We start from the raw sequence: 25,593 nt of genomic DNA on the forward strand, positions 1-25,593 counted from the left end.
GGTTGGACACTCCTAAAGCTAACCCTTTAGCTTTTTAAATACATATTAGCCTTCTGACTTTGATTTCTGGCTACTGTTTATGAGTGGATTTCACCATTTTAAAAAATTAAGTGAGTGAAAATGGTTTTCACCCAGTTAAAATGATTTTAGTATATCTTTTAATTGATTTATTATAAAATTACCGTATAGACCCACATCTGAAATATAGAAACACTTATCGAATTTTATTTATATATTCATGATTTTTTTGATTTTACATATACATATTTAATCTATTTACATTTTTTTCTTGAGGTCAGATCGTAACTGAATTTTCTTTTCTCTAAACTAGTTATCCAATAGGCTTAATGTCTTTTATCTTATAATCTATAAGTTCCCCTGTGATTAGAAATGCCACAGTTTTCACGTGCCCATAGAAATATAATAATCAATTTCTTGCTTTTCTATGCAATTTCATTGATCTAACTTACTGATCTTCCCCCCAAACCATCCTATTTTAATTATTGTAGCTCTATGATTCTACTCATTCTTCTGATTTTTTCTAGTATTTTCTTACTATTTAATTTTCTAACATGATTTTAAATAGTTTCAGGTTGTGAAATGGAGCTCTTGGGACTTTGATTTAAAAAATAATGACCATGTTTATCCAGGTGGATAAATGGATGTCTTTAAACATTAACTTTTTATACCTAAAATCAAGCCATAAGCCTTCATTTATCTGTGTATTTTTTCAGGTACCTTGGTAGAGTATAGATTTCTTTATATAGATCCTGCACATTCTTATTTTTATACTGTTTTTTAGATTTGATCTCTTCAAGGAAAAAAAATCTGTTAATTTTCTGTATACATTTTGTGACTGGTCACCATGCTGTTTGTTTCTCGAGGTCTACTTTGTACCTTTCCCCACCATGCTCCGTGCCACAGGAAGAAGTCCTCTGTGAACTGAATTAATCGAGTGCCCTTGTATTCTGATTTCCAGTTGGGTTCCATCAATGAAAAACAGCAAGACAAAACTGGAGGGTGAAAGAGAGTGAGGTTAGGTGAAAAGTCTTGATTAGTCTAAAGGAAAGGATTTTTTTCTACTATTTTTCAGCCCAGAGAGGGTACCATTTGCAATTTGCAAAGAAAATAACTTATGTGATACAAGAATTTCGTAGAATTCTTCTAAGTCTTCTATTTATTGTGCTTCATTTTATCATTCACGTAGAATGAAGTTGAAGGGGATGGAGGAGTATAACGTTTTATTATCTGCTTAGTTGTTTAGCTGCCTAAGGAGAGTAAGACCTATTATTTCAGACTATCAAGCAACAGGATTGTTATTTTTTAAATTACTTCATCAGATGCTATATTCACCACCTGTTGCAAGAACTTGTAATATAAATTGTTCTTCCATTTTATGGAAAATTTGCCACATTGTTGAAGAGACAAAAATAATAATAATAATAGCACGATGTTGGTATTATCTTTGTTGCATGAGTGCCTATTTCCTTTGTATGAAGGGGTGGCCCCTCCACACCTGTGGGCGTTTCTCGTCAGGTGGGATGAGAGACTGAGGAAAGAAAGAGACACACAGAAAAAGTATAGAGAAAGAAAAGTGGGCCCAGGGGACCGGCGCTCAGCATACGGAGGACCAGCACCAGCACTGGTCTCTGAGTTCCCTCAGTAGTTATTGATCATTATCTCTACAATCTCGGAGAGGGGGATGTGGCAAGACAATAGGGTAATAGTGGGGAGAGGGTCAGCAGGAAAACATGTAAACAAAGGTCTCTGTGTCATAAACAAGGTTAAGAAAAGGTGATGTGCCTTGATATGCACGTATACAAACATCTCGGTGCATTAAAGAGCAGTATTGCTGCTAGCAGTCTTACCTCCAGCCCTAAGGCGGTTTTCTCCTATCTCAGTAAATACAACACATAATCGGGTTTTACACTGAGACATTCCATTGCCCAGGGACAAGCAGGAGACAGATGCCTTCCTCTTATCACAACTGCAAAGAGGCCTTTGTCTTTCACTAATCCTCCTCAGCACAGACACTTTACAGGTGTCGGGCTGGGGGACAGTCAGGTCTTTCCCTTCCCAGGAGGCCATATCTCAGGCTACCACATGCGGAGAAACCTTGGACAATACCTGGTTTTCCTAGACAGAGGTCCCTGTGGCCTTCCACAGTGTATTGTGTCCCTGGATACTTGAGATTAGAGAATGGTGATGACTTTTAACAAGCATACTGCCTTCAAGCACTTTTTTAACGAAGCACATTCTGCATAGCCCTAAATCCATTAAACCTGGAGTGAACACAGCACATGTCTCTGCAAGCACAGGGTTGGGGCTAGGGTTACAGATTAACAGCATCTCAAGGCAGAAGAATTTTTCTTAGTACAGAACAAAATGGAGTCTCTTATGTCTACTTCTTTCTACACAGACACAGTAACAGTCTGATCTCTCTTTCTTTTCTCCTTATCTTTACTTCTACCTTTCTACGTGTAGGTCTTTATTTACGGATTTTGGTCTAAACAATTGTGGTGCCCTCTTATATCCAAGTTTTACATGCCCCTTTATCTTATAAAAACCCCTACTGTTAGCCCACCACCAGACCAGAGAAGCATAACAAAGTATATTCCTATGGGTAGTTTCCTGTCTAGCCACTCATACAGTCTGACGTCCATAGTCGCTTGCTTTGACAGGTGGTGGGGAATGAAGTCTCACGTATAATATGCATCTTCAGCCCAAATCCCATAAAATTAAGGAATATTAAAGAGTGTTTTGTAGAATTTGAACTCAGTATTTTGTTCATCACTTCATCTTATATTTTTGCTGTAAGAGTCCTTGTGAATTTTTTTGACAGTATAATACAGGCACGTTTAAAAAATTTTTGTTTCTCAAGGAAGATTTTTTGAGAACAATCTTTAGACAGTTTTGTTCTGCTACTGTTATTAGAAAAATCAATTCCTTTTTGTATTTTTATCTTTGTTTCTCCTTCTTGAATGAAGAGGGGTCATTTATGGCCTGGTATTTGTCCAAACAGCACATGGGAGAAAACCTTTTCGATGTCTTCATTGCACCCCTGAAATATATTTCAGGTGTACTACACATTACACATTGCACGCACACACACACACACACATATGCGTATGTATGTATATACATACAATATGCCAAGTATATTTTTGGAACATCTCTCTAACGTTTTAAACTGGAAAGGCAATTAGTGTAAGTTTTAATAATCCAGCATTCTAAAAAGAATTAAAAGGAGGGTATGGCATGAGCAGATTTAGTGGAACAATTTAATCTGTGTATGATTTCCTCTCTGTCATTTATAAGGTTACTGTACTAGGGACCAGTTCTCTGTATCTCCTTTTCCATTTGGCCCAGCCTTCAGTCTAGGAATATCATGGTATCCAATTGCCTTTTCAAGGTTAGTGCCCAAGCTTTAGGAAGAATCGGTAGATCAGAGAAAAGTTACCACATGCTGATTTCCTTTTTGAGTAGCTTACTTTCTTGTACATCTCCCAGTGCAGATAATTCCAAAAGCTGCTTATCAGAGAAAGTAAGGGTCTGGCTTGCTCTAGGCTGTGTTTGCCATTGCCTTCATTCCTCCCTACTGAAAATTATGAAGTGCCAGAATTTCTTGTATTTACTTTCTGAAATGTCACACTACTCTTCGGAAGAAGCAATGCATCTTCCTTGATTTGTTTTAAAGTAAATTACTTCAAGTTCAAAGTAGACTGATTAGCCATGGCTCCTACACCATGTAGGCTCACTATTTTCATGTTCCTTTAGACATTTTAGCCTTTAATTACCAGGTAATTAAGAGCATTAGGTAGTCAAAGTGTTTAGGTATACCAGTGTTTAATACATTTATTTGTCTGGAAGTCATTGTCAACAGCTTCTTCTTCTCAAACATTAATTCTTATTAATTTTTAACTGCCTGGAGTCCTTTTTTTTGGCCTAGAATCGTTAATGGAGTTTTTACTCACTTGATTTCAGGTGTACTGTGCTTTCAGCTAAAAATTGATATAGGTATTTCCAAATGTTTCATCGTTACCTGTCTTCTCTTTTCATCTATATTTTCTATATCCAATTTCATCTAGTCTTATGGCTTCAATTCTCTCTACTTTGTGGATGGCTCTCAGATCTCACTCTCTACTTTTGTACTTCCCATAAGCTCTGGTTTACCCATGCAGATGATTTCCTGCTCCTGCTTGAATATTCTGGTAATGCCTTTAGTCAAAGCAATATGCCCAATACTGAGAGCATCATCTTCTACCTTCCCAAATGTCTCTACCTGTTCATTCAGATGTTCATTTGTTCATTTATTCATTGTTGTATTTATCAAATACCTCCTTTGTATCAGGTCCTTTTGCTGGGGGTAATCAGTGAAAGAGGTAGATAAGGTGATTCTCCCGCAGAAGTTTGCACACAATTAAGAGACACACATGCATATAAGTAAGCAGACAAATACCATGCAACATGATAAGGCCAAGATATAATGAGTTTGGGACAGGATGAAAGAACAAAATGGGGAACCTAGTCTTAACTTGGGTGTCAGAAAAATTTCTTAAAAGGAGTAATGTCTAAGTTGAGCACTAAAGCTTGAATGGTAATTAGCCATGTAAAGGGGAGAAGGAGAGAACAGTAGTGTGGGTGTAAGAACAAACATGGCACACAAATAAGTCTAGAAACAGAAAATTGTTCATGACAGCTAAAGTGAAGGGAGTATGGAGTAGTGAGTTTTGAGAGTGAAAGGGCTCACCAGCCAAATCCATAAGGGTTCTATATGTTGTGTTATAGAATTTGGACTTTATCCTGAGAGACAGAGAAAGTACTGGAAGGTTATAAGGACAGGAATCACATGATCAATTTGATTTTTAGAAAGATCATTCTGACTGCAGTGTGGAGGTCGTATTGAAAGGCCAAAGGCAGGTGAAAGATCAATCAGAATGAGAGATCTTAAATGAAAGATAATAAAACATTTCATTGGAGTGGTGATATTAGAAATAGAGAAAAGTTAAATAGGGAAAGAAATAGAGAAAAGTTAAATATATTTTGAAAGATTTGTATTTTCTCTGAGGGGAAAAAAGAGGCCAAAAATTATGGCTTGATCTATAAGATCTATAATGATGTCTTGATCTATAAGATGTATAAGGATACTTTCCACTGAGATATGGACCAGAAGAGCACAAAGTGGTTATTGAAGGCATGAAAATGAAAAGAGACTTCCAACAGTGAGTATGTGTCATATGAGAGAGCGCCTAGACAGAAGAGAGTCTATTTAAGATCTAGACCAAGAAAGAGAAGTCTACAGGGGAATTGTGGAGTTTAAGAAAAGTAAGAGAAATAATATTAGGACCCAATATAATATGTTTAGAACATGTGGGTGTGCACAGAGGATTGAGTGCAGTAAGCGCTTTACATGGATGCCTAATGTCAAATTGGAGAATGTGAGGTCAAGGAAACTAGAGGGAGAAAATGTTCAAGATGGATGGAGCTGAGTATAGAGCTGAATATAGCCAAGATATCAAGTATGGTATAGACTGAAAATATATTTAGTGCAAGGAAATCACTGGAGACTTTGTGAAAAGCAATTCCTGAGGAGTGCTGGGGGCAGTAACAATTGTACAGTAGGTTTGAGAAGTCAGAGAAGGTGAGAAAATGTTTCCCATGCCTTGCCAGCAACTCCATTAGCCTATATATCTAGAATGAACAATATAGAGTCACCTTTGATTCTTTTCTCTCATTTGTCTTCTGCTGCTCATTCTAATTGCACAATAACTCTTGGTTCTCTCTGGCTTCTCCTTGCCATTACCTCCAAAAGAGCCACTCTTGTTCAATCCTGCTTTGATACTTTCACACTACTACTCCATTCTTGTTTATAGAAAATATTCCATAATTAGTTATTATTTAATACCCAGTATAAATAGTACTTGTGTGAGTAACCGCCCCCTCCAAATAACTTTTCTCTGAACTCTTACAACACTTCATTGGAACCCTTTTAAATAACACTCATGACTTTTTGCTTTGAGTGAAGCCATCTACATGCATGTCTTATCCCCCTTCATAGACTGTTAACTTCATGAGGGAAGAAGTCTTATATTTTTATATTGTACATATATCCTAAAACAGATAATCTAAGTACATATTTTGGTTCTGCACAATTTTGGCCTATTGGACCTTGAGCAAGTCTTATCTAGGTCCTCTGAATATTTTTCCTTCCAAAATGTGATAATTTTCTATGCTGCCTACTTAATATTAAAGATTGTTTTCAGAATTTATAAGAGTAATGTAATTGAAAATGTTTTGAGAGTGATAAAATATAAAAGAAACTATTTTTATATTTTTACTATGATTGCAGGAGTTAGTAGTAGTACTGTTATGATTATTATGTACTGAGAATTGCCACTCTATTTAGACATGCAGCAATTCAGCCAATCAATACTTTAAAGGTTAATTTCTTCAATTTAGAGCATAACACCTACAGTGAAGTCTGCCATTTATTTTGATGAATAATTCATGGAACACATATTTTACTTAGAGATTGTTTCTTTCCCTAGGTGTTTATACTAGGAAATATAGCAACTGAATTTGATCAAGTGCTTGAGCCTAATTGATCAATTAATTTTTTTTTTACCTTTTAAAGTGCAATATTAATGTGTGCTTGTCGTACAAATACAAACCATTCTTAAAAGTATATATAAAAACTGAAACCCACTTTCTATGAAAAACACTGTTAAAGTGTTTGGTATGTTTATTTCTAAAAATTTAGACACATATACATTTGTTTTTTGTTGTTGATGTTCTCTCTCTCTCTCTCCTCATTCCTGTATGTATACATATTTGTATATGCCTATATATTTACATAATATAATTTATATTAAACGTACTTACAGATACTGGGGTAGGTGGAATAATGGGCCCCCAAATATGTACACATCCTATTGCCCAAAACCTGTGACTATGTTACTTTACATGACAAGGGAGCTTTGCACATGTGGTTGAGGTTAAAGATTTTGAGATGGGTTGGTTATCCTGGATTATTCAGTTGGACACAATATAATCTGATATCCTTAAATGTGAAAGAGGAAAGCAGATGAGTGGGTCGGATAAATGTGATATGAGAAGAATTGGATCTGACATTGCTGGCTTTGACAATGGAGGCATAGAGCCATGAGCCAGATAACATGGAGGCCCCTAGGAACTGGAAACTGCCTTCAATATATAGCCAGCAAGAAAACATATACCTCAGTTATACAACTGAAATCTGCCAAAAAAAATAATTGAACAAGCAAGGAAACAATCTCCCCAAGAACCTCCAGTAAGCAAGGCAACCCTGATGACACCTTGATTTTAGCATAGAGAGACCCATGTCTGACTTCTGACCTACAGAACTGTGAGATAATAAATTTGCATTGCTTAAGCCACTTAACTTGTGGTAATTTATTATGCCAACCATATAAAATTGATACAGATATATCTTTACATAGCTATCTACATAATTTTGCAAATTCATTCTTCTTAAAAACTATATATGGACATCTTTTCATGTCATTTACAAAGAGAGATCACTGTGTGCAGTTTTTTCTCATTATGGGTATAATTTTGTAGGAAAAATAGCTAAATATAGAATAGCTCACTCAAAGAGTAGTGCAGCCAAATTTCCCTTCAAGAAGGTTCTACCAATTAGTATTCCCACCAATAAAATGTGAGAGTATACATATTCCACATCCTGGCTACAACTGGATATTATCAGTCATCTTAATGCCATGGCCTTTGTCCTTTCAGGACTCAAAACTACTTTTATAGATATTGAGTACCTTTATTTCTTCTTTTTATGACTCTCCCATGTATTCTAATGAGACATTAGAGATCTACACAGGATTTTATAAGACTGTCCTCTTGCCCTAGTAGATTTTCTTACTAAGATGAATTGGCAATATAAAAGTTACTAATTCAGAAAATATTTAAGGACAATTTTTAATAAAAAGGTCCATACTCCTAGGTCTCAAAGATTTGTGCTTAAACTCAACTGACTAGGCAGCTAACTCTACACGTTCAAATGGACACTTCCTGCACCACGGTAGATAAAGTTACCTACACTTACCTCAAGTTCAAATTCACTCCTCAGTCTGTTGCTACCATGATCACCTCTTCCACTCCATGTTCTGAGAGTACTAGTTTCTAAGCGACCTAAATGAAAACAGAAAGGTGTCTTGGGATAATTTATGAACACCTAATAGCTAATATGCACTGAGATAAGCTAAGTCTCCAATCAAGTCTTAGAAAAGTCTTTCATGGAGAATATACTTAAAATTATTCTTGCTTATCAAGTGTTCCCAAATTCCTCCTAGATCTTCCTTTAGTTTTTAAACTACAAAATATTTTTAATTTGCTAAAACTATAAAATGCATATACCCACCACTCAGGTAAAATTTAGCCCTATTTGCCTGAGATACAAAGTTATTTTGTTTCCCTGAATATTTTTTAGTTACCTCTTGTAAAACTTTGTATGCCTAATGGGTTCTTGATATTATCATTCACACTATTGCCTCTGCAGCTGATACTATTATGATGACTATTTTGGTTAGTGTGAGTACATGTTTGATTAATGACCCATTCTTTAATTTATATATTTTTATTGGTCTGTTCAGGTTCCCCCTTTTTTTTTTTTTTTTTTTTTTTTTGAGACGGAGTCTTGCACTATCACCCAGGCTGGAGTGCAGTGGTGCCATCTCGGCTCACTGCAACCTCCGCCTCCCCAGTTCAAGTGATTCTCCTGCCTCAGCATCCCAGGTAGCTGGGATTAACAGGTGCCCGCCACCATGCCCAGCTAATTTTTTCTATTTTTAGTAGAGATGGGGTTTCACCATCTTGGCCAGGCTGGTCTCTAACTCCTGACCTCGTGATTCACCCGCCTAGGCCTCCCAAAGTGCTGGGAGGTGTGAGCCACCGTGCATGGCCAGTTTTCCTATTCTTGAGTGTGCTTTCATCATTTATACATTTTTAAAAAATTAACATCTAAGTTTTCAAATGTTCTGGCATTTATTCTTAGCATTCTCTGATGACTTTTTAAAAGCTTACAGTACTTTTATTACTCCTTTTCCATTCCTGATATTATTTGTTCCTTTTCTCTTTTTGCCCTCCCCCTCATTTCTGTTGGAGGCCTATTTATTTTTAATAGTTTATTTTTTTAAAGACTCTGGTATCTTTATTTTCTATTTTATTACTTTCTCCTGTTATCACTATTTCTCCCTTTTTTTGACTTTTTGGGTTTACATTAATGCTCATATTTTAACATGAAGCCCTTTTAAAATAATTCTTTTCTAAATATAATCTCTACTTTTAGTTCTTTTTTAATCCATGAATCATTGGTCTGTGTCATTTCATTCCTATACCTGATGAATGGCTACTGTTTTGTTATTGTTTTTTAATTTCATTAAATATTTGTCAAAGAATACAGTTTATATGTTGTTATTTGGTATTTCCTGAAACAATCTTTAGTGGCCTAGAATGTGCTAAAGTTTTGTACATACTAATGTTTTCTTAAAATAAAGTGAATTATTTTTTCAGGTACAAGATGATATGTAAGTACAATAAATAAATTCCCTTAAGTGCTTCGTTGAAATAATCTATATTCTAATAGTTTTATACTTTACCTATTATTTCTGGTAGAAGCATGTTACCAATCTCAATATGATTATTAACTTTGCAAGTTCTCTTTGTAATTCGGTCCAGTTTTTAAAAAATCCTTATGATGCAAGAATAAGTTGTCTCATTTCCTTGGCTGAATATTACAGTTTCAGAAGTTAGGAAAGAGTCTTTCATCCACGACTAATCTTCTCCACCAAGTCACTGGCTTCAAATTTTCTACTTGTTCTTGACACTTAGAATTTTTTTCTCTCTCATTTTTTCTCTCTCTCCCTCTCAGGCTACATAGTAAAACCAAATATTTTAAAATTACACCTGATTTAGCATTTCTTTGTGTGGGAGAGAGGCTGTGTAGCCACATTAGTTAGTTCACCCAGAATTGTGTTCATCAGAAATTTTCCCCGTAAAATTTACAGTAGGGTTGATATGAAGAATCAGTGCCTTTTCTTTCCTCCTGACTGGGCATACCAGGTTGCACTGACAATATTTTCTAAAATAGATTGTATTCTGTACCAGCAACTCGTTTCTTTATTCTATTCTGGCTGTCACACTTAAAGATATTATCAAGATGTTTTGCAAAGTTGCAGAGAAGTTTTAAAGGGGTCAAAATGTTCTGAAAGAAAGTTAGAAACATATTCATTTATTTATTTTTGTTGTAGAAGAGGTATTACGGTATTTTGTAAAGCTCAATAAAGAGAGCTAGGAAACCTGTATGGAAGAAATAAGGAAATTCATTTAGAATTATTTTGATAAAAACTTTGCAGCAATTTGTCCTGACTTTGTGAGAATCAGTCACCTATTCTTGGCTGTTCAATGTATGGCTACCACCTGTTTGGAATGTTGTAGAAGAGATTGTTCTACTAAGTAAAATAAACAGTGTCCAGCTCAAACTTAATGTCTCTTAATAGTCTAAAATTCTATGAGTTGCCAAAATCCAACAATGTTCCAGCAGACGTAAGACTGTGGAAATTAGACAGGAAGTTAATAAGTAGCCTAAGCCAGGTACCGCCGGGCAGTAAGTGTTTTGGAGCTACATATTAGAATATAGGGAATACCACTGAGCTGCCCACAGTAAGAGCTTGAGGGAAAATAAATCTCACGTCTAGATGCAAAAATGCCACAGGAACAACAAGGAAGATGAGTTATCCGGGGAGCTTGAACATATGCAGAAGGAAATCACAATTGAAGGGGAAAAAATTAAGAGAAGCCAAAATATTTTGTTCCTTGGTAAATAAACCCAGAATAAAATTTCCTTATCTTGTGTTTTAATGAAATATCATTGATATTCACTTGAAAAATATTTTATACTCAGTATTTTCACATTCTTTTGATCTTTATTCCTATACTTTTCATGATCAAGTTATACAAATTGTAAAAAAAGTCAATGTTGTGGAATAAAGATACACTGTATCTCATAACAAATTCCATACCCACAAAAGCAGTGCAAATGTATGTATGTATGTATGAAATTTGTATTATGTATTTTTAGCACGTATTTTTGGGAGCACATTATCTTTTTCTATGAATCATAAAATACTACAGATAGCACATATATAGAATACATATAAAATTATATATAAATACATATAGATTATATGAATACATATATTTATATAAAAATAATTTATATTATATACATATTTATATATATAAATATTTGCTGTAAAATTATAAATGGTAACTTGATAAGCTTTGCTTTTATTGTTGCATATTTTTATTTTAACAGATGAGTAGACATCACACTCAGGGAATTTATTTTGAAAGAAGAACAACAAAATGTTACCACCAAATTATCATACATATGTATAAACACACACACACACACACACTCCCACACACATACTCTTACACTGTGTTTCCTTCATTCCTTATTCAGTCAATAAAGCATGAATTTCTGGCCACTAGATACATTCAACTAAATATTTCTGAAGTCTTGCTATGTGGAAAGCATTGTGATAGATGCTGTAAATAGATGAATGCAGAAAAGACTGCCTTGCAGGGGCACAAACTCTTTTGAGATATAGACATATACAAAAATAATTAAAGTAATCCAAACAGTGGTAAGCAGATAATCAATATAAACCACACACTGTATATCTCTGTGTTTCTTGGTAGACGGCAAACTCCTAGGAGGTAGAGATTTGTGATGAATATATGTTTTCTGAAAGTAGGCACCCCTCAACATTGTGAATAAAAGCATAATCAAATAAAACCAATTATTATGAAGCTAACATATTTGCCCATCTCAACAAACCAAAACAAAAACAGCCAGAATAAAAATTGGTAAATAACAACTCAGTTTATATTAATGCAATTAGCTTTTACTTTGCAGATACATTTAAAGAATGATGTTTCTCTCACATTCAAAGAAACAATCTGGGCATCTTATAATTAATGTAATATTTATTGAATCCCTACTGTTCATTGATTTATTTATTCAACACATATTTGTTGAAAACTGTATTAGTTTCCTGTGGCTGCTAGAACAAATTACCAGAAACTTGGTAGCTTAAAAAGCATACATTTATTCTCCTGCAGTTCAGGAGGTCAGAAGTCTGAAGTCAGTTTCACTGGGCTGAAATTGAGGTATTATTATGGTCACTCTCCCTTCTGAAGGTTTTTCTTGCCTTTTCTGGCTTTTAGAGCTTGAATGAAATGCTTGCGTTCCTTTACTTTTGGTCCCTAGTCTGATCTTCAAAGCCAGCAGCCTAGCATTTTGTTTCAGTAGTCCCATTGCCGCCTTCTTTGTCAAATCTCCCTTTGCCTCCCTGTTATAAAGACATGTGTGACTATATTTAGGGTCCATCAAGACAACTCTCATCTCAAGATCCTTCCTCACACCTGCAAAGTCCCTTTTGCCATTTGAATTATTACTCACTGGTTCAGAGGATTAGGACCTCTGTATCTTTGGGAATTATTATCATCCTACTACAAGCACCTACTATGTGTTGGGAGTTGGAGCCCCAGCTCTGAATTAGACTATCTCTGGAACTGCCTTCATGGAACCTGGCATTACAGGGTGTATAAAAGACGTACACAACACAGGCCTGCTATTTAATTGGGTTCTCTAACAGAAAAATGTTTATCAGCGAGTAAGTGCATGTTTTTTTCTTTTTCTCTTTTAACAAGAGAAATTGCCAGCTACTTCTTAGAATACGCAGGCACAGAAAATCACCTTGTAGCTGATACTGTTGAGAATAATTACTGTGGTCTCTCTTATATAAATAGAAGACAAGTGAGCCCATCATTTTGAGAAATAACAAGGCATTTTTTTTTTCTTTTACTGACTTTTGCAAACTGCTTCTTTTTGCATGGCAGGAGAAGGTGGTACTATGGCAGGAGAAAGATTAGGTTGGTTTGGTTAAAGAATCCATAGCATCCCACGAAGGAAGAAACTCAAACCTAATACCTTAGGAAATTCTCTGTGAAACCTGGAGTTTCAGTGATGCAACATTTGGGGAGTGGCTGATTGTAGTATGACACTAATGCTCAATCATAAAACATAGGACTTCCTTCCTTCAACACACTGAGAGGCCCTATATCAACTGGTGGAGTCATTTCCGAACTCAGGAAGTGCTACATCTCCCTGCTGGCTCTGGTTTCCACTAAAGACATGCATCTCCCTTAGCTGCCACCATGCCTGTTTGCAGAATAGGGTTTCCTTCAGGATAGGGTTTCCTTAAGGAGAAATGTTCCATATATAGTCAATCAATGCATTAGCATTTAACAGCACCATTCAACCAGAGGTGAACTTTCTGCCTTCTTTATTTGGGAAGGCAGAACGCTCTCCCATCTCTGTCACTCAGGAGGGCCATCACCTGGGCAAGTACTTGGATCAGAGAATGAGAAAAACTTTCACCAAAGGGGCTTGGCCTGTTTAGTTAGAAGTTACCTACACTGAGTTTAATTCTGGGTTATGTACATCAATTCTTAGAAGAGCCTTATCTAATGCATCAAGAAGTCACCCTAAAACCTGTGACCACTACGAGGCCAGTGAATTTTAATCATGACCTACCAAGGCAAGTTTTTTCCTTGGTCTGATAATAGTTCGTGAATTTATGTGGGATAGAGTTAGAATGGATTCCTTGCTGTCAGGATGCTGGTAGGTACAGTGAAAGGATCAGAGCATTAGGGGAAACAATGAGTTTGGCTCTCTGAATTATCTACTGCTATAAATTGGTGGAAACTTTAGTGTTTTACTCATGGCACTATTGGAGTTACATTCTTTGCATCCCAAACTGTGTCAAGGAATACCTTAGTTACACCTTCACAGATACCAGATATGATAAAAAGAACAGAACAATTTAGTTAATTAAGAAATTATTGCTGTTTCATATTACTCCCTATAAATGTATAGGGATTAAAAGAATAAAACAGTAAGTATAAAATAGTAAGGGAGAAAGTAGACTTTATATGGACAGTGAAGCATACTGTGATGGATAATTGGACTATTGTTTGGGGATTTAGTTTATTTTATTTTGTTACTACTTAGAATCTAAAAATCCTTCAGGTTTTGGAAGAATAATGTATTCTGTGTTTTGTGCCCAATTTCCCATTAAAGCCAAAAGTTCTGGGCTCTACTTCAAGGAGGCTAAGGAGGAAAAGACATACAGCCTAGAGTAAGCTAATCAAATGATCTCAATCCAAAATTTGAATCTTGAAGCAACGAGGTAGACAACACAGAGTTGAGAAGTCACTCATAGTGGTGTCAGCAGCTTTGAGATCAGTGCAGCCCTGAAAGCAGCAGTGCCCTAATCTGTACTGTTATATGAGGCTGTGTTCCCAATTTCCTAGCCCCTCTTGTTTCCTATCCATTGCCATTACCTAATGTACTAGCCTTCATCTTCATGCTAAATTCTGTAACTTTTTACATAGTCTATTTGTTTTCAGGTTTGCCAGATTCAATTTCTATTGCTTACAAAATATATCTCTGATTAATGTAAGTGGAGAGGATATGGACAGAAATTGATTTCTCATCTTCAGTGACAGGAGTAATGAGCAAAGGTATAAATGGCATATGGCTAGGAAATACTAATGAAACTTCTAGGACAGGGAAAAATAGACATGAAATAATCAGGAGACAAACAATAGGGCCCATTGAAATAGAGGCAAGAAAAAGATGGTTGAAGGTGTAACTGCTTAGGTCTGGGAAATACAAAGAAGACTCTTCAATGCTGATGCCAAAAGATAAGATAAATGGCTGCCGCTTTTCTAGTAGCAAGATAGGATTAACCTGAAGGATCTTGTGGGGTGGGGACTATGATTTTAATAAATGCTAATTAGGATAAACCAAAGGCTACTATTAGTTTATTGTGTTAGAATCTTTCCATACAAGAATTTGACAAAAAAGAAAAAAAAATGGGGGATTTTTTTTTTCTCCATTCTTCCTTCTTTGGATCATTTTTGTCTTTGGACTCTCAGTGACTGATTACCCCTGATGCAACACATTTAAAATGTCTATTTACTACACAAATGAATTTATATGCAGCTCTTTTTCTTTCCAAGAAACCATCTATTAGATAAATGGCATATTCTTCTGGTGCTGTATTTTTAATTAAAAAATACATAAATATGGGCTCACATTAAAAAAGAAAACAGCACTACAGAGAGTAAAAAAGAAAATTCTCCTTCATTCCCCTTCTGTTACATCCCTATAGGTAACAATGCATATATCCTTTCAGATATTTTTATATATCATACATGCACATATATATTTAAAATTTATATTAATATAATGTGAATTTCTCTTGTAAGTATTAACATACTAATCACTTGCTCATTTATCTTGGAGACCTTTCCCATCAGTGCTTATTAATTTACTAAATTCTACATTGTTTACATTCAGGAAATTATTGAACTAATTAAATCTATATGTATATATGAGAGATAAAAAAATTGGATGTGGCAGTTATTATGGCCATCCCATATTTGAAAACAAAATCAAGATTCAGAATGTAATAACATTCTATATGTGATAATTACAACAAAACATTGCTGACTTTCCAGTGATGTCAAGTAAAAAAAAAAAATTCTACATAAAAACACTGTGAAAAAAAGTGATGTGAAAGAAAAAAAGAATATTAACAACATTATTTCTATCATTGCCATCTCAACATTCCCTGACAATAGCAGGGGATAGGTAGAGCAGTCAGAGTTACAAGATGAGGCACTAGCAGCAATTCTAATCCAGTTTATAAACACCATTGTGCAATGAATAGAGTGTGATGCAATGAGAATCTACTTGCCTAATTTATTTACACTGGCAGTCATAAAGTACCCAGTTTTTAAGCAAGTGAGCATGCATTAACATATTTATAAAATAAAATCCTCTCCCTCTCATTTGACATCAGAAAATGTATTAATCATTCCCATAAATATATTAGAATAGGAAACAATGATTATCTCAATAGGTGCAGAAAAAGCATTTAATCAATTAAACTGTCACTCATGGTTAAAAAAAAGCAAACAACAATACATTATGAACTGGAAACAGAACACTTAATAATCTTGATAAAGTATTTACCAAAAACCCACAGCAAACATTGTTATCATTATAAAATGTTAGCAGTATTGCAGTAAAGTGAGGAATGGGACAAGAATGCCATTATTACTTCCATTAAACATTGCACTGGATGCTCTGTTAATAAATAAAAGAAAAAACTGAATAATAAGTGGTTTGAAAAGAGAGAAAGAAGGAAACCATTATTCTTATTTACAAATGATATGATTACCTATATAGGTCATCCAAAGATGTAACAGGGAAATAAAGCAAGCAATCAAAAAAATTCAGCGAAGCTTCTGGAGATAGTACCAATATATTGAAATTGATGCTCTTTTAATACAATGTTACTAAACAATTAGAAAATAGAGTTTAAAGAGAGAGATCTCTAATTTTAGTAATAAAACTAGGAGGCAATATAATGAAAGATACTCAATAAATTACAAAGCATAGTAGCACATAAAGTACCTGAATAAAATAAATATACCATGTTCATAGATAAGAAGACATTTCACTAAATCTCTAAATGCAATTCTCAAGTTGAATAAAATGCCCAATTGAAATCCAATTTTTTAAATGGATCTTGGCTGGCTCATCCTAAAATTTCAATGAAAGAGTAAAGAGCCAAGTATAGTTAAGGCAATTTTAGACAAGAATCATTAGGAGGAGGGGTTTGCAAAATGTTTTAATACATAGAGTTGAGTGCATGGGTGTTCATTATATTATTATTTGTCCTTTCTGTGTTTAAAGTTGCTACAATTAAACTTTTAAACTTGTAGAAGAAAGAATAGTTTCTGATGTTATGTTGGGAAGAATCTTGTAAGCAAGAAAGCAAAAAGCACAAAATTAAAATGTAAAATATTATTAAATTCAAAAAGCTGTATACTGAAGCATAAAGCTTTTGGCAATCAAGAAACATCATAAAAACTGGAAAGACAGTCCATAAACTAAGAGAAGACATTTGCAACACATGTAACTTACAAGAGAGAATTAAACTAGAAAAAATAAATATTATCTACAAAATAATTTTCAAAAGCAAGCAATTTAATAAAAAATGAGATAAAATTAAGAACAGGCTTTAGCAAAAGGGAAAATGCAAATTAAAAGAGCAATCAGATGCTCTTATCAGCAAAAACTTAAAAAGTCTAACAATAGCATAAGGGTAACGATGTGCCAGTCTAGTTTATGGGAAATGGACTTGTATACAGACGAATCTCAAAACCTCTCAAAACCTAAATTAGTGAAAAAAGGGGAAAAATGAAGAATGATTCACATATGAAATATAAAACTAGGAAAATAGTATTTTTAGGGAATCGTACATATGTAACTATTTTCAGAAATACAACGGAATGAGTAATATAAAATTCAGCATAATGGTGAACGGAAGGAAGGAGATGTTTTTAGAGAGTCTTCTTTCTAGAAGACTCCAAAAATACTGGCATTTTTTTTTTCTTAAGCTCTGTAGTGGGTACCTGGGCATTTTTCATTCTTCTTTAAGATATGCACATGAGATATACTCATATGTATATTTCCCAATTAAAATTGGTGTACAAAATCTTTTTAAGGAGAGCCCTTATGAAACTGTTCACATCAGCAAGTTCTAGCTTGAATAAGGACTTCCTGTTACTATGTAACCAAACAAAAGATAGCATTTTCTTGTTTTCTGAAGCTAATGTAAGATGGAAACCTTCAGTTGTAATCCTATTTCAAAAGTTCTTGCTCTTCACATCTGACTTATCCTCAATTATTTCTAGTACTTCAGTACAGATGTGATTTTATAGAATACATTCGCAAATTAAAAACGCCATCTCCATCTGCCTACCTTGGGCTTCCAAGTAAAGTTCTATTTTTACAAAAATCAAAACAGTTCCTCAACTTTAAAAGTTTGAAAACCAGTGTACTTGTAAAGCACTTGATGCAAGCAACTTCTGAATGTTTCACATAAAAACAAACAAAAATGTGTCCTCTGTAATACAGTTAGAGCCTCCCAACAGAGCCTCAGAAGACCGTTTCTAAAGGCAGTGAGTTCTACTTGCAGAAATAGGGCGGGAGTGCAGTCTGACTCCAATCCACACGTCCTTCCCCTCTGACAGAACGCCCCAAAACGCAGTCCTCTCTTTCTTCCGCGCCGCTCCCGCCCTAGTCCTCTTAGACCCGCGACCGGAGGCTCCGGAAGACCCCGAGCCCCGCCCGCTCCGTGACCCCGCCCCCACCCGTCCCGCCCCTGAAAGCGCCCGGAACGCTGTGCGCGCGCCTTCGGGGAGGAGGGGCTGTCTGGGCTCGGGGCGCGGCGGCAGTCAGCTCTATGTTCGCGGTCTTAACCTCTCCTCTGGCCGAGTCCTTGCAAGAAGTGAATTACCCGACCCTGGTGAGTAGCTGCAGGAGTCAGACCTCTTGGAGGCGGCGGCGCCAGCAGCGGCGGCAGGCACGAGGTCCACCGCGGGCGCCTGCGCGCTCGCCCGCCAGCCAATCTGGTGGCCGCTTTCCTCCGGGCGCCCTTTGACCCGGCGCCCCTCTGGCAGGCGCTGGTGGCGCCCAGCGGCGAGCCTGTAGCCCCCTCGATTAACCTAGGCTGTCACTCTTAGGCCTGTTTTAGTCTGCGTTAGTTTTACTGCCTTTTACACTGCTTTATCCCCACCTCACTGGCCTCGTCGCCGCCTCCTCTTTGAAACGGTACCTCCTGTCGCCTCGGATTTTCCTTGTCTCCCCGACAAGGTGGAAATTTCGGGTCGGATGGAAGCCTTTTTCAGCACCTTCTCCTTGTGCCCCCAGACTGCCTCTGGGCCTTGAGCCGACCGGGAGAGTAGAAGGATCGAGGCCTGCTGGGCTCTGGGTGCAACGGAAAGGTAGCTGTCGCCTCTGGGCATCGGGAGGAGACCGCCCGATGGCGAGGCCGCTAGAGATGGTTTTTCAGTTCACCTGTTAACGTGTTTGGCACTGTCATCTTAGACTCTTAGCCTTTGCTAAGTCGGGATGCAACAGTGCTGGATTAGTGTTTTTGTTGTTCCTTTTTCCAAAGAAGCAACTTGAAGTACAGGCAGGTATAACTGTTTGGTTTTGTTGTTGTAAGACCCTACGGATAAGTGTTAGGAGAAAATGTGGAAGTGCTATAAAACAACAACAAGGGGGGGATAATGTTGATTAAGAACTTGAAAATAAGAAAAATGGGACTGGAATAGGCTGTTCACGTTAAAGTATTGAGGCAGTAGTTTGAAACAAAAATATAAAGTAAAACCTAGATATTGGTGATACTGTATCACGTTGTTTGCAAATCACTTTCATGACAATACATCTATTTCAGGTGTATCACACCTGAAAAAAACATGAGTGCTGTGAATTTGTGGATTTTCAGGCTCAATGCAGAAAAACACCCCCCAAAACAAAAAATCACAACAATGAAAACACCATTTCCAGAGCTGTTGCTGTTATTCGTGTGACGAATAGTGAATGTATGATCATAAAATAGAATAAGCTGTCTTTAGATGAAGTTTGGGCACAGTTTATGGAGTAGGTAACAGTTAATCATTGTTTATTAGGTACATAATCCTTAATTGAAAACATAACCATATAGCAGCAGCTTTCATCTTGTGTCACAAAAATAACTGGTGTATCCTCTAAATTTGATTTGTCTAATACCTTAAAGGAAGGCAGAATAGCATGGACAAGAACTTGAGTTCTTGAGCCAGACTCGATCTGCTCCTTGCTAGGTGATTAACCTTAGATTGGTTTCTTGGCCATTTGCTGGCCCAGAGATTTTTGAAAAAGTTACCAACTGCTCAGCTTCATCATTTGTAAAATGAGGTTAAAAAAAATTCTGCGGCCTGGCGCGGTGCCTCACGCCTGTAATCCCAGCACTTTGGGAGGCCGAAGTGGGTGGATCATGAGGTCAAGAGATCGAGACCATCCTGGCCAACCAACATGGTGAAACCCTGTCTCTACTAAAAATACAAAAATTAGCTGGGCGTCGTAGCGTGCGCCTGTAGTCCCAGCTACTCTGGAGGCTGAGGCAGGAGAATCGCTTGAACCCGGGAGGTGGAGGTTGTAGTGAGCCAAGATGGCGCCACTGCACTTCAGCATGGCAACAGAGTGAGACTCCATCTCAAAAACAAAACAAAACAAAACAAAAAACAGAAACTAAACCTCACTGAATTTCTGTTAACCAGAGGGTACAAGTGTTTACAATAAAACTGACCTGGGCAAGGATTGATTTTGAAACTGATTTTGAAAGTTCCAGATGTGTCTTCTAGTATTGAGTTATATTTATCTCCGGTGGCTTCATACAAAATAAAATTAGAAGAAAACAATATATTTTTTAAAAAAAGCACCAGAAGTCTGTGTGATTTAATTTAGTTAATTGAAAGGGAAGTCTTTTTGGCTTTTGTGAGTTACATGATAAAAGCAAATAATTTTTGAAGTACTAATTCATACCACCCTGCTTCTGAATCTCTTGGGGTCTCTTAGCTAGCTGGATATGTCCAATAATTTTTTATTAGACATCACTAAGCTTCAAGTCAGCATTTCAAAGGATTAAAAGCACAAAACTCAAAAAATAGAAGCTACAGGTTCAAAAGAACCTATTGTGTATGAGTAATGTAAACAGTCTTTTGAGGAGAAAACAGATTTTCAGTAGCCAATACTTTGAGTAGGTCCCTGCCTTGGAAAGATATATCTGCAATAAACTTGTAATATTTTCTCTATGGTGACTTATAATACTTTTCTTTTATTGAAGCTAAATTAGTTCCTCCACCCCTTTCCTGCAAGATCAGACATTTTAGGCATCTCAAGGGTCATTGTGGTTTTACAGCGTTGAAGATGATTTTTTTTATTAAATTGGATTTTTAAAATTATTGGATCTTTACGATTCTTTATAATATGTTCAGTATACACCGTAAACTTATCAAGTGTGTATACGGTCAGTAGTCTATATATACACACACACACAGATATACATATATATATATACACACACACTGCCTGAATACCAATGAAACAGCAAAGAGCCAGAAATTAACTTTTTTAAAGCTGAACACTTAATGAACACTATGTGAAAGATATGTTATGCTCTACTAGAATGTGAAGATAAAGACTCCATTTCTGAAACTTAAGGAGCAATCTAGTAGGTGATATAAAGATAAATGCACAGCATGATATAATACATAAGGAATGACAATTTGGCCGGGCACGGTGGCTCACACCTGTAATCCCAGCACTTTGGGAGGCAGAGGCGGGTGGATCACGAGGTCAGGAGATCGAGACCATCCTGGCTAACACGGTGAAACCCCATCTCTACTAAAAATACAAAAAATTAGCCAGGCGTGGTGGCAGGCACCTGTAGTCCCAGCTACTCGGGAGGCTGAAGCAGGAGAATGGCATGAACCCTGGAGGCGGAGCTTGCAGTGAGCGGAGATAGTGCCACTGCACTCCAGCCTGGGCAACAGAGTGAGACGCCGTCTCAAAAAAAAAAAAAAAAAAGAAATGACAATTTAAAAAGTAAATACTGTTAACAATAAAATATATGAGGAATAAGTACTTTTCACTGTGGAATTAGGAGAGGTATCAAGAAGAGGCAGCATTTCAACTTTGACTTGAAGGTGACTGGTATTTCAATAGTTGGTCATATAGAGAATAGGCATTTAGAATAAAATGTGTTATATTTTAATTGCTTGTCGGACACCCATCTTTAATCATCATCATAAACAATTGCTCATTTATTTAGTCTTATACTAAGCCACATGATTTTGAGAGTTTTACAATATTAACTAATTTCATCCTCACAAAAATCCTATGAGTGAAGTAATAACTCATTCTATGGGTGAGGAAAGGAACTCAGAAAGATCAGGTCAGTTTTGTAGGTCAGATAACTAAAAAATGGCACAGCTGGAATTTGAGCTCAAGCATTTGAACTACAGAGCTCATATTTTAAATCTCAATGCCCATCTGTGTTTATTTAGGTTGAGATGACTTAATTGAGACATGGAGGTTGAGCCAGAGCCAGCAGATCATCTCTTAAAATTGAGCTTGTGTGTCATCTATAATGATGTGATAAACACACATTTTAATTGAATGAATGAAGTAATGTAAAATGAGAAGACAGAGGATCAGCTTAAGAAATTACATTCATAGGCAAGAGAGAGAGAAAAAAAAACAGCTTCCATAAATGGACATTTTGTGCTTTGTATTCATGAGTGTATCCAGAAAATGAACCTAAGAAATTTTTTAGAGTTTCCAATATTTCTTCACTTTTCATTTATTTATAAATTCATTAGTATTTACTGTTTGATTAAAACATTACTGTTTCAAATTGTCTTGCATGATTCACAGAATAGTTTTATCAGTAGGCAAAACAGATACCCTCTTTTTTAAGAAAAGGCTAAGTGATTTACCCAGGATCACACAACTAAGTGTGACTGATTTGAATTTACATCTTAAGATTTATTATATATCTTGATCTTTCATGAATCTCGCCATTCAGCTGAAGTCAACGTTTCAAAAATGAATGCCTTACTAATTTATAAATCTGTTAGTTATTTCTCCTTTCTCTGTAACTCTTCCAACATTCATTACCATTGTTTTTTTCCTTATAGAATACCTATCCAAATGTTTTCCTTCTGAAGTATTATGTTCTACTTTTAGAAAACAGAGTAAGAAAATATCACTGTTGTCTCATCCAGACATAACTATTTTACATGTTTAAGTATATTTCCTTCTATGTGTATCTTTAATACAGATATGATATTATATATCATAGTAGTTGATATATTACATCCAAAATATTATTTTTGCTTCATGTCTCATCAAAATTTTCCCTTTCTTCAATCAAAGGGAAATGTTTGTTGTGATGTCAATGATTTGAAAATTTCAGGACAACAAATTACAGTGGCATGCCAAAATGGTTGTATCATCTTTTTTTTTTTTTTTTTTTTTTTTTTTTGAGACGGAGTCTTGCTCTGTCGCCGAGGCTGGAGTGCAGTGGCGCGATCTCTGCTCACTACAAGCTCTGCCTCCCAGGTTCACACCATTCTCCTGCCTCAGCCTCCCGAGTAGCTGGGACTACAGGTGCCCACCACCATGCCTGGCTAATTTTTTGTATTTTTAGTAGAGATGGAGTTTCACCGTGTTAGGCAGGATGGTCTTGATCTCCTGACCTCGTGATCTGCCTGCCTCAGCCTCCCAAAGTGCTGGGATTACAGGCGTGAGCCACCACGCCCAGCCCATCCTTTTATACCTGTTAGTGCAACAGGACTGCCACAGCTCACATGTAGAAATTTCACTTCACAGAGTCATGTAGTGCAGGGTTTGAAAGACTTTGTGACTTAGCCCTTTCCAGAAATAAGCAGGTATGTTAACAGCTCACATTCTTCTATTTACTGCTGGGATAAATAGCACAAACAATTTCTGTTTACTTTTCCTGCATATTCACCATATGGTAATATTTTACCATATTTGCTTACCATTATACACAAACACACATACCCTTACTTATTATACGTTGCATTGTATGTAAGCCATACATTTTATATATAGTGTATGTATGTGGTGTACATATATGTATGAATATGTGTGTATTTATGTATATGTGTGTATCCTCTCTTTAATATATTGTCTCATGGTTCCTCGTGATTAGATCTGGATTAATTTTTAACAAGAGTACCACAGCAGTGATTCTGTGTTTTTCTCAGTACGGGTTCGCTGAAGACTAATGGCCATACTTATTTATCCAAATTAACTGATAAAGTCAATTTTGATCACTAGTTTAAATTGGTGTTTTGGTAGGTTTTCCACTGTTATTATTTCCCCATTTGTAATTAATTAGATATCTTCTGGAGGAACATTTTGTCAGTATGTATATAGTTATTAAAACAAAATCTCCAGACCTGTCTACCTATTCCTTTACTAAAAGTTCATTTACATAGCTTTTTATTAGAGAGGGAGGGAACTGATGTGATGGAATGCAGGGATGGGTAAGAGTTAGGATACCAGGTAAAGTGTCAGAAAAGATTTAGTAATTAATATTGTTTCCCAAGAGTTTTATAAATTTAAATACATTTAATTATGTATATATAATCATACATATTTATATCTAAATATATATGACATGTATCCATATATAACATAAGATGCACAATATGTAAATACACATATATGTGCATGTATGTGTACATATGCACATACACACGTTTATGTATGTACCTGCATGCCTTGATATATTTACAGTATGCATATCGTATATACAGTATACATATATACATATATGACGTATATATGTACACACACCATATTTACTTAAAGTTTGAAACAGACAAAATACAGTTAACTTTAGTTAGATATGCTTGTGTGCGGTGGGAAAACTATAAAGAAAGAAGAGGTGAAATGGTAAACACAAAATTCAAGCAGTTGCCCTTAGGCAGGGAGAAGGGCAGGACTGGTGATTCAGAGGGAGCACGAGAAGTGGAAAGGAGCTTTTAAGCTGGCAGATTTCTTTTTGAATGTTTACTTTATATGTTTTAAACTAGACATGTCTTTTATACTATTCTTTTATGTTATTCTTTATATTATTCACTATTCACAATTAAACAAGATTAACCTTAAAAATAATTCTTATGATTTTAGCTGTTAAAGAAATATACTTGGTTAGTTTAGTGTTTCTTAAATACATGTAGAATAGTGTTGTGGGAAGTCAGGGACCCCGAACGGAGGGACTGACTGGAGCTGCAGCAGAGGAACATAAATTGTGAAGATTTCATGGACATTTATCACTTCCCTAAGAATACTCTTATAATTTCTTATGCCTGTCTTACTTTAATCTCTTAATCCTCTTATCTTCGTAAACTGAGGATGTACGTCACCTCAGGACCACTATAATTGTGTTAACTGTACAAATTGATTGTAAAACGTGTGTTTGAACAATATGAAATCAGTGCACCTTGAAAAAGAACAGAGTAACAGCGATTTTTAAGACAGCGATAAAGTCTGACTGCCTGTGGGGTCGGGCAAAAAGAGCCATATTTTTCTTCTTGCAGAGAGCCTATAAATGGACGTGCAAGTAGGAGAGGTATCACTAAATTCTTTTCCTAGCAAGGAACATTAATATTAAGACCCTAGGAAAAGAATTGCATTCCTCGGGGGAGGTCTATAAGCGGCCGCTCTGGGAGTGTCTGTCCTATGCGGTTGAGATAAGGACTGAGATACGCCCTGGTCTCCTCCAGTACCCCACCCTGGTGAATTTGAGGTCAGACTGGTTCTCTGCTCTCGAACCCTGTTTTCTGTTGTTTAAGATGTTTATCAAGACAGTAGGTGCACAGCTGAACATAGACCCTTACCAGTAGTTCTGTTTTGCCTTTTCTCCTGTTTCCCCAGAAGCATGTGATCTTTGTTCTCCTTTTTGCCCTTTGAAGTATGTGATCTTGTGAGTTACTCCCTGTTCTTGGACCCCCTCCCCTTTTGAAATTCTTAAT

At 36.2% G+C, this 25,593-nt stretch overlaps 1 protein-coding gene and 1 long non-coding RNA gene across 4 annotated transcripts in view, besides 7 other annotated features; one reads left to right on the top strand and one right to left on the bottom strand.

Annotated features, from left to right (window-relative positions):
* Nucleotides 1-963: 963 nt before the first annotated feature.
* Nucleotides 964-18,319, bottom strand: MANEA-DT (MANEA divergent transcript). 2 transcript variants are annotated; one of them, NR_104136.1, is made up of 3 exons: nt 17,961-18,319; nt 8,096-8,181; nt 964-1,013 (listed from the first exon to the last, which is right to left on the bottom strand). It is a non-coding gene; the product is annotated as an MANEA divergent transcript (long non-coding RNA). The 2 variants fall into 2 exon arrangements; NR_047502.1 differs by lacking the exons at nt 964-1,013; nt 8,096-8,181 and having other exon boundaries at nt 16,040-18,319.
* Nucleotides 3,361-3,655: a silencer, noted in NCBI's record as "tiled region #13210; HepG2 Repressive non-DNase unmatched - State 24:Quies, and K562 Repressive DNase matched - State 9:DNaseU". NCBI's record gives its function as "represses a minimal TATA promoter and a strong SV40 promoter by Sharpr-MPRA in HepG2 and K562 cells {active_cell/tissue: HepG2 | K562}" and the evidence as "EXISTENCE:reporter gene assay evidence [ECO:0000049][PMID:27701403]".
* Nucleotides 18,143-18,222: a silencer, noted in NCBI's record as "silent region_17404". NCBI's record gives its function as "represses an Ori minimal core promoter by ATAC-STARR-seq in GM12878 lymphoblastoid cells {active_cell/tissue: GM12878}" and the evidence as "EXISTENCE:reporter gene assay evidence [ECO:0000049][PMID:35858748]".
* Nucleotides 18,273-18,362: a silencer, noted in NCBI's record as "silent region_17405". NCBI's record gives its function as "represses an Ori minimal core promoter by ATAC-STARR-seq in GM12878 lymphoblastoid cells {active_cell/tissue: GM12878}" and the evidence as "EXISTENCE:reporter gene assay evidence [ECO:0000049][PMID:35858748]".
* The window catches only part of MANEA (mannosidase endo-alpha), a 31,918-nt gene continuing 24,727 nt past the window's right edge, over nt 18,403-25,593 (top strand). The window contains exon 1 of one of the 2 annotated variants that reach the window (NM_024641.4): nt 18,403-18,506. The gene's annotated coding sequence lies outside the window, so the exon portion shown is untranslated. Of the gene's footprint in view, nt 18,507-19,090; nt 19,180-25,593 lie in introns of those variants that run through there. The other variant, XM_005267147.4, reaches the window with a different exon arrangement.
* Nucleotides 18,499-19,439: an enhancer, noted in NCBI's record as "H3K27ac hESC enhancer chr6:96025507-96026447 (GRCh37/hg19 assembly coordinates)". NCBI's record gives its function as "activates a minimal SCP1, AML or CMV promoter by ChIP-STARR-seq in naive and primed H9 embryonic stem cells {active_cell/tissue: H9 hESC(naive and primed)}" and the evidence as "EXISTENCE:reporter gene assay evidence [ECO:0000049][PMID:30033119]".
* Nucleotides 18,643-18,702: a silencer, noted in NCBI's record as "silent region_17406". NCBI's record gives its function as "represses an Ori minimal core promoter by ATAC-STARR-seq in GM12878 lymphoblastoid cells {active_cell/tissue: GM12878}" and the evidence as "EXISTENCE:reporter gene assay evidence [ECO:0000049][PMID:35858748]".
* Nucleotides 18,903-19,002: an enhancer, noted in NCBI's record as "active region_24839". NCBI's record gives its function as "activates an Ori minimal core promoter by ATAC-STARR-seq in GM12878 lymphoblastoid cells {active_cell/tissue: GM12878}" and the evidence as "EXISTENCE:reporter gene assay evidence [ECO:0000049][PMID:35858748]".
* Nucleotides 25,308-25,508: a silencer, noted in NCBI's record as "peak5967 fragment used in MPRA reporter construct". NCBI's record gives its function as "represses an SCP1 promoter by STARR-seq MPRAs in K562 erythroleukemia cells {active_cell/tissue: K562}" and the evidence as "EXISTENCE:reporter gene assay evidence [ECO:0000049][PMID:32103011]".

Source organism: Homo sapiens, chromosome 6 (assembly GCF_000001405.40).
Source record: "Homo sapiens chromosome 6, GRCh38.p14 Primary Assembly".
Lineage (NCBI taxonomy): Eukaryota > Metazoa > Chordata > Mammalia > Primates > Hominidae > Homo > Homo sapiens.